This window comes from Homo sapiens, chromosome X, assembly GCF_000001405.40.
Source record: "Homo sapiens chromosome X, GRCh38.p14 Primary Assembly".
In the NCBI taxonomy this organism is placed as follows: Eukaryota; Metazoa; Chordata; class Mammalia; order Primates; family Hominidae; genus Homo; species Homo sapiens.
The window spans coordinates 1,487,386-1,499,808 of NC_000023.11; the positions used below are offsets into that span (position 1 = coordinate 1,487,386).

At 49.6% G+C, this 12,423-nt stretch overlaps 1 protein-coding gene across 8 annotated transcripts in view; it reads right to left on the reverse strand.

Annotated features, from left to right (window-relative positions):
* Positions 1-12,423, reverse strand: part of P2RY8 (P2Y receptor family member 8) — a 74,605-nt gene that overhangs the window by 24,805 nt on the left and 37,377 nt on the right. Inside the window, exons 1-2 of one of the 8 annotated variants that reach the window (NM_001424192.1) lie at positions 6,708-6,995; positions 5,612-5,736 (exon numbers count right to left, since the gene is read on the reverse strand). The exons of 4 other annotated variants lie outside the window; for them this stretch is intronic. The gene's annotated coding sequence lies outside the window, so the exon portion shown is untranslated. Of the gene's footprint in view, positions 1-5,611; positions 5,737-6,707; positions 6,996-12,423 lie in introns of those variants that run through there. 3 more of the 8 variants (NM_001424190.1, NM_001424189.1, NM_001424191.1) reach the window with 3 other exon arrangements.

Sequence of the window (12,423 nt, forward strand, 5' to 3'; positions counted from 1 at the left end):
CCGTCCTAGGAAGACGCGCTTATCATCTTTGCTTTACATATGGGGACACTGAGGGGCAGAGGGCATAAGGAACCTGGGCCATGAGTGACAAGGGGCGTGGTGCTTGGGACCCAGACTGTAGGTTTTCTGGGCATGTAGAAGATGCCGCACTCTGCCTTGCAATAATCTCCAAATACACGCATCTGAGTGGAAACACACCTGCGCCTCTGAGCCTGAACTCTGCACCTGTCTCTGGCTGCCTGTCTCATCCTCCCTGCCCTCCCAAGGGGATTTCAGGGACCATACTGCATACTGAGAGCTCCCCAAGGAGAAGAGACCTGAAGTGTATCATCCTGGTGCTCCCTGAGGCTGGAGCATAGTCCTGGCCTGCTGGGCAGGTGCATTTGCACCTGCTCTTTGCAGGGGTTGGGGACAAGTCAGAATACGGGTAAAAAAGAAGGCCGGGCCAGGCGCGGTGGCTCACGCCTGTCATCCCAGCACTTTGGGAGGCCGAGGCGGGTGGATCACGAGGTCAGGAGATCGAGACCATCCTGGCTAACACGGTGAAACCCCGTCTCTACTAAAACTATAAAAAATTAGCCAGGCGTGGTGGTGGGCGTCTGTAATCCCAGCAACTTGGGAGGCTGAGGCATGAGAATCGCTTGAACCTGGGAGGTGGAGGTTGCGGTGAGCCAAGATCGTGCCGCTGCACTCCAGCCTGGCCAACAAGAGCAAAACTCTGTCTAAAAAAAAAAAAGAAGAAGAAGAGAAGTGGGTCTCAACAGGGTCCCCAGTGTATCACTAACAGCTGAGCCCCCAGGAGCCCCTCAGCCTGCCTGAGTTATTCCTGGAGAGGCAGAACGAGCTGAGGAATCTCACTGCCTGGTTCTGCCCTAAACCACCCTCCTGGGAAGGGGTGAATGCAAAGCTACCAAGTGACTACTACTCAAAGGCTGGGGTGGTGTTTCCCCTGCTCGCTGTCAGGCACAGATGATGTGCTTATGCCAGTTTCCTTGGTACAGTGGTCTACCTGGCCCTGCAGAAAGCTGTGTCCCCACAGCGGTGGGACCAACTCACAGATATCTCCTTGCCCTAGCTCCTGTGATTCCTCTGGCCCATGCAGCTCCTTATGCCTGTCTGCACCCAGCACAGTCTTGAGTGACACCTTCAACCCTCCTTCTTGGGGCATCAGCCCACCATGGACCTGCCAGAGCCTCTTGGAAGTCTGCATTTCATTCCAGCCCATGGGTGCCAGCTCCTGCCTCCATGAAGACCCTCTCCTCCCCACCAGGTACCTGCTGCAAACTCCTTTGGGTCTGCTGTCCTTAGCTTAGAGCTGTGCACCCAGGATGGTCTTGGTAAATGCAGGGTGTGTGTGTGTGTGTGTGTGTGTGTGTGTGATACAGGACATTCCCAATGACTGTGGAGGGAATGAATGGGTGCATGTATGAATAACACTCAGAGCGTCCACACAAATGTGGAGAGAATGAATGAATGACATCCAGGATTCAGTTATGCAAATGTGGAGGGAATGAATGAATGATACCCAGGGTTCACTCCCACAAATGTGGAGGGAATGAATGAATGAATGGCATCCAGGGTACACTCCTGCAAATGTGGAGGGAATGAATGGATGATACCTAGGATTCACTCCCACAAATGTGGAGGGAAAGAATGAATGACACCCAGAGATTCATTCCCACAAATGTGCAGGGAAAGAATGAATGACACCCAAGATTCTCTTCTGCAAATGTAGAGAAAAGTAATGAATGATGCCCAGGGCTTCCCCACAAAAGTGGAGGGAATGAATGAATGACACCCAGGATTCACTTCGGCAAATGTAGAGAGAATGAATAAATGATACCCAGAGATTCCCCACAAATGTGGAGGGAATGAATGACTGACACCTAAGGATTCCCTACAAATGTAGAGGGAATGAATATCACTCAGAGATTTACTCCTGCAACAGTGGAGAGAATGAATGAATGAACGACACCTAAGGATTCCTCACAAATGTGGAGGGAATGAATGACTGACACCCAGGATTCACTTCCGTAAATGTAGAGAGAATGAATATCACTCAGAGATTTACTCCTGCAACAGTGGAGAGAATGAATGAATGAATGACACCTAAGGATTCCTCACAAATGTGGAGGGAATGAATGACTGACACCCAGGATTCACTTCTGCAAATGTAGAGAGAATGAATGAATGATACCCAGATATTCCCTGCAAATGTGGAGGGAACGAATGAATGACATCCAGGGCTTCCCTGCAAATGTGGAGGGAACGAATGAATGATACCCCAGATTCACTTCTGCAAATGTAGAGAGAATGAATGAATGATACCCAGATATTCCCCGCAAATGTGGGGGGAATGAATGAATGATACCCCAGATTCACTTCTGCAAATGTAGAGAGAATGAATGAATGATACCCAGATATTCCCTGCAAATGTGGGGGGAATGAATGAATGACATCCAGGGATTCTCCACAAATGTGGAGGGAATGAATGAATGATACCCCAGATTCACTTCTGCAAATGTAGAGAGAATGAATGATACCCAGATATTCCCCACAAATGTGGGGGGAATGAATGAATGATACCCCAGATTCACTTCTGCAAATGTAGAGAGAATGAATGAATGATACCCAGATATTCCCCACAAATGTGGGGGGAATGAATGAATGACATCCAGGGATTCTCCACAAATGTGGAGGGAATGAATGAATGATACCCCAGATTCACTTCTGCAAATGTAGAGAGAATGAATGAATGATACCCAGATATTCCCCACAAATGTGGGGGGAATGAATGAATGATACCCCAGATTCACTTCTGCAAATGTAGAGAGAATGAATGAATGATACCCAGATATTCCCCACAAATGTGGGGGGAATGAATGAATGACATCCAGGGATTCTCCACAAATGTGGAGGGAATGAATGAATGATACCCCAGATTCACTTCTGCAAATGTAGAGAGAATGAATGAATGATACCCAGATATTCCCTGCAAATGTGGAGGGAATGAATGAATGATACCCCAGATTCAGTTCTGCAAATGTAGAGAGAATGAATGAATGATACCCAGATATTCCCTGCAAATGTGGGGGGAATGAATGAATGACATCCAGGGATTCTCCACAAATGTGGAGGGAATGAATGAATGATACCCCGGATTCACTTCTGCAAATGTAGAGAGAATGAATGAATGATACCCAGATATTCCCTGCAAATGTGGGGGGAATGAATGAATGACATCCAGGGATTCTCCACAAATGTGGAGGGAATGAATGAATGATACCCCAGATTCACTTCTGCAAATGTAGAGAGAATGAATGAATGATACCCAGATATTCCCCACAAATGTGGGGGGAATGAATGAATGATACCCCAGATTCACTTCTGCAAACGTAGAGAGAATGAATGAATGATACCCAGATATTCCCTGCAAATGTGGGGGGAATGAATGAATGATACCCCAGATTCACTTCTGCAAATGTAGAGAGAATGAATGAATGATACCCAGATATTCCCTGCAAATGTGGGGGGAATGAATGAATGAATGATACCCCAGATTCACTTCTGCAAATGTAGAGAGAATGAATGAATGATACCCAGATATTCCCCACAAATGTGGGGGGAATGAATGAATGATACCCCAGATTCACTTCTGCAAATGTAGAGAGAATGAATGAATGATACCCAGATATTCCCTGCAAATGTGGGGGGAATGAATGAATGACATCCAGGGATTCTCCACAAATGTGGAGGGAATGAATGAATGATACCCCAGATTCACTTCTGCAAATGTAGAGAGAATGAATGAATGATACCCAGATATTCACTGCAAATGTGGGGGGAATGAATGAATGATACCCCAGATTCACTTCTGCAAATGTAGAGAGAATGAATGAATGATACCCAGATATTCCCCACAAATGTGGGGGGAATTAATGAATGACATCCGGGGATTCCCCACAAATGTGAAGGGAATTAATGAATGACACACAGAGATTCATTCCTGCAAATGTGGAGGGAATGAAGGAATGAGTAGCACACAGGACTTGCTTGATAAACGAATGGGTGAATACATAAATCAATGACGTGTAGGGTTTTCTCCCTAAAAGTGGAGTGAATAAATGAAAGAGTGAATGCATGATGCCCACTAGTTCCTGACAAGTGTGGAGCAAATGAGTAAATGAGTGAATGAATGAATGCCACTCTGAGAATGCACAGCCAATGAGTGACGGAATGTGTGGAGCAAATGAGTAAATGAATGAATGAATGAATGAATGCCACTCTGAGAATACAGAGCGAATGAGTGATGGAATGTGTGGAGCAAATGAGTAAATGAGTGAATGAATGAATGCCACTCTGAGAATGCACAGCCAATGAGTGACGGAATGTGTGGAGCAAATGAGTAAATGAATGAATGAATGAATGAATGCCACTCTGAGAATGCAGAGCGAATGAGTGATGGAATGTGTGGAGCAAATGAGTAAATGAATGAATGCATGAATGAATGCATGAATGAATGCCACTCTGAGAATGCAGAGTGAATGAGTGATGGAATGGACAGAAGGCGGCAGGGGCAGTGTGGACGTTAGCCCCACCGCCTCCCTCCGGTCCACTTTGGTCCAGCTTGCTACTGGCCCTGACCTCTCTGCTGCATCCATGGAAACTGTGCACCCAGCACCCCTCGCCCCTGGGGTCACTCCCTGTCTGGGCTGTGTGGTTCTCCAGGACTGCCAATCAATGAGGAGAGGGGTGTGGTCCAAGCCTTTCAATCACTGAGGATAGGGGGGTGTGGTCCAAGCCTGTCAATCACTGAAGATGGGGGTGTGTGGCCAAAGCCTGTCAATCACCCAAGAGAGGGGTGTGGCCCAAGCCTGGCCAGTTAGGGGGCCACCCTCACCCTGTTCATAAAAATTATCTCAAGCAGTGGTCATTTGTTTCTGACATGGCTGGTCGGAACCCTTCAGGAGGTGTAACTTGTGGGTGCCAGGAGAGAGAGGGTGTCTCTTTTCCCATTTGATTCTGCTCTGAAAAGATGGGGACCCCAGGCTACCAGAGACCCTCTTTCCATCCCTATAGAGAAAGTGGTCTTCCTCCAGTGATTCCACACCCTGCAGCTGAGGGAGGCAGAAAAAGGTGGGGCTGAAACGTGGGAAGAGAGAAAGAGAAAGAGGAGAAACTGACAACCATGTAAGCTCCTGGATCCAGCCATGCCTGAAGCCCCCATAGAAATCCTAATTATCCAATTTGACAATTTCCACCTTGACTTCAGCTAGCTCGACTCAAGTTTCTATTGCTGGCCATAGAAGACAGTTATGCCTCAAGCACTAGGGGTAGGCAGGTTGGGCTCCCAGTTGAGGGACAGAATTGTCCTAGTTCCAGAGAGAGGGCCCACGGAGCCCAGGCCACCTGCCCTGGGCTGAGACATGGTTGTTTCAAAGGCAGTCACGTATCATTCATCACTAATTCCCCAGTGCAGTGGTTCAAGGCTAACGAGCAGCACTCAGCGCCCACCTCTGCCTCTTTCTGGTTGTAGGTCTTGAACACACCCCCGCCTCCATGTCTGCCTCAGTTTCCGTTACTGGTAAAACAGGGATGATTGTAACAGCACCTGTCTCACGAAGTTTCGAAAATCCCAGAGATCAGGCCAGGCGCACTTTGGGAGGCCGAAGCGGGTGGATCATGAGGTCGGGAGTTCGAGATCAGCCTGGTCAACATAGTGAGACCCCATCTCTACTAAAAAATACAAAAAATTAGCCGGGCGTTGGGGTGGGCGCCTGTAATCCCAGCTACGTGGGAGGCTGAGGCAGGAGAATCACTTGAACCCGGGAGGCGGAGGTTGCAGTGAGCAGAGGTCACGCCACTGCACTCCAGCCTGGGCAACAGTGCGAGACAAGAAAGGAAAGAAAGGAGAGGAGAAGAGAGGACAGGAGAGGAGGGGAGGGGAGGGGAGGGGAGGGGAGGGGAGGGGAGGGGAGGGGGAGGGAGGAAGGAGGAAGGAGGGAGGGAGGGAAGGAGGAAGGAGGAGGAAGGAGGAAGGAGGAGGGAGGGAAGGAGGAGGAAGGAGGAAGGAGGGAGGAGGGAGGGAGGGAAGGAAGGAAAGATCGCAGAGATAAAGCCCTTGTAAAAGTGGCTGCTGCTTCCTCCTCACTCAGTCGACGTGAACTATTTTTATTAGCGAAAAACCAAGAACAACGTCTCCTCCCCACAAAACAAAAGCAAAATAAAAGCCAAAGACAGGTGTGAAGAAGATTTCTGGGAGAGCGCATTTTAAAGAAGGTGGGACTTTCTTCATCCGAGAGCCACCCAACCCAGCATCTCGGCGTGGGCCGGCCTGTACCCCTCGTCAAAGGAACAATTGGCTTGCAAACTGGGAATCTCCGTTAAAACGGACAAGACGATTTTGCTCTTTTCTTGCGGCAACGTCTGAAGATGTGCAAGAAGGGGGTCTGTTTTAGGCCAACCTCAGCCCTCTCTGCGACCCTCGAGAGCTTGTGCAAATGGCACAGCTCCTGCCTGGAGGCTGTGTGTCCTTTTGCAGCACTCTGGTGAGCCCGGGTTAAAAATCACACACCCCAAAGGGAGGCTGAGCTGAGGGCTTTCTCTGGCATTCAGCAGCGTCTCTGGCCTGGATATGCCCTGCTAGCTGGGGTATTTCTGCAGAGCAGCCTCTCCTACCCGAACACTCCCAGGTCCCCGTGACTTACAACGGTGGCTGCAGGGAGGGCAGACGTCCTGGGTGATGCTGGTCTGGTGGTGCTTGTCTGAGCAGCCGTCAAGCTAGGCAGGGGGTCCTGGGGGACCCTCCTCCTGGGCCAGAGGCGGCTGCCCTATGGGAGTGAGCTCCGCACAGGAGCAGGAGTGGAGGGCCAGCTCTCTGCTCTGCTGGGAAAAAAATCCCACTGGCTGTGCCTGCACCGCACCTTGAGACAGACACCAGCAGCCTCCGGAGACCCAGCAAGCTGCTCTTAGCTGCGATCTGTCATCTGCAGACTGAGCTTGGTGCATGGCGGTTATGAAACTGGCCAGAGCAACAATAGATGGAAAAGCTTCCTCTTTTTGGCCCTGGGCCCCAGGGAGCGAGGTCAGGTAATCCGAGGGGGATTTTATGTGTTTTTCTCCTAATGCGGTATTTTTCAATTAGGCTTTAAAAAAAAAAAATGAGTTTGGCCTCCATGTATGCGGGACCATTGCCTCAGAAGGGTTAGTTTAGGATTAGAAAATGGGTTAAACTTAAGGACAGCTTCTCTTGGATATATTGGATATTACTTTATGCTTTATGTGAAAATACTAATTTTTAAAAATATGTATGTCCATAGTCACTATTTGTTTTCTTTTGAGACTGAGTCTCGCTCTGCCTCCCAACCTGGAGTGCAATGGCACCGTCTCCGCTCACTGTCACTTCCTCCTCCCAGGTTCAAATGATTCTGCCTCAGCCTCCCAAGTAGCTGGGAAGACAGGCATACATCACCACACCTGGCTAATTTTTTTTTTTTTTTGTATTTTTTTTTTAGTAGAGACAGGGTTTCATCATGTTGGTCAGGCTGGTCTTGAACTCCTGACCTCAGGTGATCCACCCGCCTCGGCCTCCCAAAGTGCTGGGATTACGGGCATGAGCCACTGCGCCCGGCTGCGTATTCACTATTTAAAAGTAGTCAGTACTCATTGGATGATGCTAAGACAGTTTTTTATTTGGAAGCTTGAGGCTGCAGTGAGCTGAACTGCACTGTACTCACTGTTCGGAACTGAATTGAACTCACACCACTGCACTCCAGCCTGGGTGACAGAGCAGGACCCTGTCTTAAAAATTAAAGGGAGAGCCCTTTATTACAAACAGCGAGCTCAGTATATATTTTCTGAGTGTTGTGTCTGTTACAGGCTGCATTGTACCCTCCCAAATTCATACGTTAAAGTCCTAACCCCTAGGACCACACAATGTGGCTGTATTTGGAGGTTACCTCTTTAAAGAGTTAACTACAGTAAAATGAGGTCACCAGGAGTGGGCCCTGATCCAATAGGACCGGTGTCCTCATAAGAAGAGGAGATGAGGACACAGACACACACAGAGGGACGACACTGTGAGGACACAGGGAGAAGACGGCATCTCCAAGCCCAGGAGAGAGGCCTCAGGAGGAACCAGCCCTGCCCATACCTGGATCTCAGACCTCCAGCCTCCAGGACTGTGGGAGAATCAATGTTTGTTGTTTCTAAGCTGCCCAGTCTATGGTATTCTGGGATAGTCGTTCGAAATGGACAAAGACACCTCATAAGAAGAGGAGATGAGGACACAGACACATACAGAGAGATGACCCTGTGAGGACACAGGGAGAAGACGGCGTCTCCAAGCCCAGGAGAGAGGCCTCAGGAGGAACCAGCCCTGCCCATACCTGGATCTCAGACCTCCACCCTCCAGGACTGTGGGAGAATCAATGTCTGTTGTGTATAAGCCCCCCAGTCTACGGTATTCTGTGACAGCAGCCTGAGATGGACTAAGACACCTCATAAGAAGAGGAGATGAGGACACAGACACACACAGAGAGATGACCCTGTGAGGACACAGGGAGAAGTCGATGTCTCTAAGTCCACAAGAGAGGCCTCAGGAGGAACCAGCCCTGCCCACACCTGGATCTCAGACCTCCAGCCTCCAGGACTGTGGGAGAAACAATGTCTGTTGTTTACAGTCCACCCAGTTTGCAGTGTTTTATTACGGCGGCCGAGCTGACTACCCATCCACTCTGAAGCAGTTGGGAGAAGGCAGACGTCAGAGATGCTGCCGAAACCTAGGCTGAATGGAAGTGAACTTGGGATGCTGCTGAGACCTAGGCTGAATGGACGTCAACTTGGGTACCACTGGCTTCTCCCTGCTGTTGAATCCCAAAGACCATCTCGAGGCCATCTGGAGTCATGCTCCCCCGCCAGCTTCTCAGTAGAGACAGCACGTTACAGGGTGGGAAATGGTTATTCACAATTGTTCAGTGGCTGCCTGCCTTGGCGTTGGGGAGCCACATGAGAAGGCTCACAGCCACAGCCACAGCCCTCCCGGGTGCGACTCCCTGGGATCCTGCCCTCTGCCCTCTCAGAGGGTTTCTCTCTCTCTCCGCTCAGTTCACAGGAAGCAACTTGTCTGCAGTTCCCAAATCTACTTCTTGGAGCCTCTGTCCTCTACTATTTTCCTGGAGGGAACAGGCTGGGAAGGAAGGTGGTGTCCCCTTAAAACATTCAGTCAGCCGCGGCTTCAGACGGAGCAGTCATTTGTAGGTAACTAGGACTTGGGAAGATATTCAACACTGCTTCCTGGGAGTTTTTTTTCTTTCTTTCTTTCTTTTTTGTGAGATGGAGTCTCACTCTGTCTCCCAGGTTGGAGTGCAGTAGCGCGATGTCGGCTCCCTGCAACCTCCGCCTCCCTGGTTCAAGCAATTCTCCTGCCTCAGGCTCCCGAGTAGCTGGGATGACAGGCACCCACCGCACCTGGCCAAGTATTTTTAATATTAGTATTTTAGAAACTCAGTCACTCCGCTAGTAAACCAGTATGGATAGAAATGCAAACATCAGGCCGGGCGTGGTGGCTCACGCCTGTAATCCCAGCACTTTGGGAGGCCGAGGCGGGTGGATCACTTGAGATCAGGAGTTCGAGACCAGTCTGATCAACATGGTGAAACCCTGTCTCTACTTAAAATACAAAAATTAGCCAGGCGTGGTGGTGGCGGGTGCCTGTAATCCCAGCTATTCAGGAGACTGAGGCAGGAGAATCACTTCAACCCGGGAGGTGGAGGTTGCAGTGAGCTGAGATCGCGCCACTGCACTCCAGCCTGGGGGACAGAGTGGGACTCCGTCTCAAAAAAAAAAAAAAAGAAAAGAAAAAGAAAAAAAAGAAACTCAAACATCACAGAGAGAGATCAATGTTTTTTTTTTTAAATAGCATGTTAATTAGGGTTTTCTCTTTTTTTTTTTCAAGACAAGGTCTCACTCTGTGGCCCAAGCTGGAGTGTAGGCCGGGCACGGTGGCTCACACCTGTAATCCCAGCATTTTGGGAGGCCGAGGTGGGCAGATCGCCTGAGGTTGGGAGTTTGAGACCAGCCTGGCCAAGACGGTGAAACCCTGTGTCTACTAAAGATACACAAATTAGCCGGGCATGGTGGCGGGTGCCTGTAATCCCAGCTACTCAGGAGGCCGAGGCAGGAGAATCGCTTGAACCCGGGAGGCGGAGGTTGCGGTGAGCCGAGACCGTGCCACGGCACTCCAGCCTGGGTGACGAGTAAACTCTGTCTCAAAATAAATAAATAAATAAATAGTATGCTGACAAGCAAATATGGCCTTTTCTGTTTGTTATTACGCCTGGCATCTCCAAGAAGGTACCGGACTTGCTGAGGTGTGGAGTAGCATCCAGGCTGGTGAGAGATGGTTGGTTTGGGGTGCAGTGGGGCGGCGAGGGGCTTGTTGGGACCGGCTTGGAGGCCTGTGGGTGTCAGACCTGCAGCCTAGCGGGTCCTTGCCATCCAGGAAGCTGTGAGTATTTGGTTTGGGGCAGCTGAACCCAGGAAGCAGGACTGAGGAGGTAAGAAGCAGAGAGGGATGAGCAGTACACTCCCGCCGGGTGCCAGCCAACAGACACGGAGAGCATGAAGGATAAAAATAAAAGACCAACTGCTCCCTGCGAGCTGATTCCTGGTTTGCCCTGGAGACTCAAGCTGCTCCTGAACTTTAAACAGCACCCACAGTGTCAGAAAACTGTTGATGAGGCCGGGCGCGGTGGCTCACGCCTGTCATCCCAGCACTTTGGGAGGCCGAGGCGGGCAGATCGCGAGGTCAGGAGATCAAGACCATCCTGGCCAACATGCTGAAACCCCGTCTCTACTGAAAACACAAAAAATTAGCCGGGTGTGGTGGCGGGTGCCTGTAGTCCCAGCTACTCGGGAGGCTGAGGCAGGAGAATGGCGTGAACCTGGGAGGCGGAGCTTGCAGTGAGCCGAGATCGCGCCACTGCACTCCAGCCTGGGCGACAGAGCGAGACTCTGTCTCAAAAAAAAAAAAAAAAAAGAAAAAGAAAGAAAACTTGAAGAGGGCCAGCCCATCTTGGTTACAGCCCACAAGAGGTGACCTCCCAACACTATGGGACCTGCAACAGCCAACTCTGTATTTTTTTTTTTTCAGACGGAGTTTTCCTCTTGTCACCCAGGCTAGAGTGCAGTGGCACAATCTTGGTTCACTGCAACATCTGCCTCCCAGGTTCAAGCGATTCTCCTGCCTCAGCCTCCTGAGTAGCTGGGATTACAGGCACGCGCCACCATGCCCGGCTAATTTTTGTATTTTTAGTAAAGATGCGGTTTCACCATGTTGCACAGGCTGAACTCCTGATCTTGAACTCCTGGTCTCGAACTCCTGATCTTGTGATCCGCCCTCCTCAGCCTCCCAAAGTTCTGGGATGACAGGTGCGAACCACCGCACCTGGCCCTCTGTTATTTTTTGAGATGGAGTCTCACTCTTGTCACCCAGGCTGGAGTGCAGTGGCACGATCTTGGCTCACTGCAACTTCCGCCTCCTGAGTTCAAGCGATTCTCCTGCCTCAGCCTCCTGAGTAGCTGGGATTACAGGCGCGTGCCATAATGCCTAGCTAATTTTTGTATTTTTAGTAGAGACAGGGTTTCACCATGTTGCCCAGGCTGATCTTGAACTCCTTATCTTGTGATCCACCCGCCTCAGCCTTCCAAAGTGCTGGGATTACAGGCATGAGCCCCTGCACCCAACCCTCTGTTTTTTTTCTTTTTCTTTTTCTTTTCTTTTTTTTTTTTTTTTTTGAGACAGTTTCACTCTTGTCCCCCAGGCTGGAGTGCAATGGCACGATCTCGGTTCAGTGAAACCTCTGCCTCCCAGGTTCAAGCGATTTTCCTGCCTCAGCCTCCTGAGTAGCTGGGATTACACGAGGTGTGTGCCACCACGCCTGGCCAATTTTTATATTTTTAGTAGAGACGGGGTTTCACCATGTTGGCCAGGCTGATCTCGAACTCCTGACCTCAGGTGATCCTCCTGCCTTGGCCCCCAAAATGCTGGGATTACAGACGTGAACCACCATGCCTGGTGGCCCTGGCCTTTTCTTACGCATGAGGTAATGCTTGCCACACCTACTGGTTATGTTCCTGCAAACTATCACCAGATCGCCTCTTACGCCCAAACTTTAATGCAATGTTTCACGTACTATGTATTTACTGCGTATATTAAAACTATAACTTATGGGAAATGTGTCATTAGGTGAAACGTATTAATAAGGAAAAAAAAGAAATAAAAACAAAACAAAACAAAAAAACCCTATAATTTAAAATACTACATTCAAACAACCTGACCAAAACTTTCTAAATGATTTCCCCAAAACAGAGCCGTAAGTAACTTGGGAACAAGACAAGAGGCAACCTGGGATGTCTTTCTAT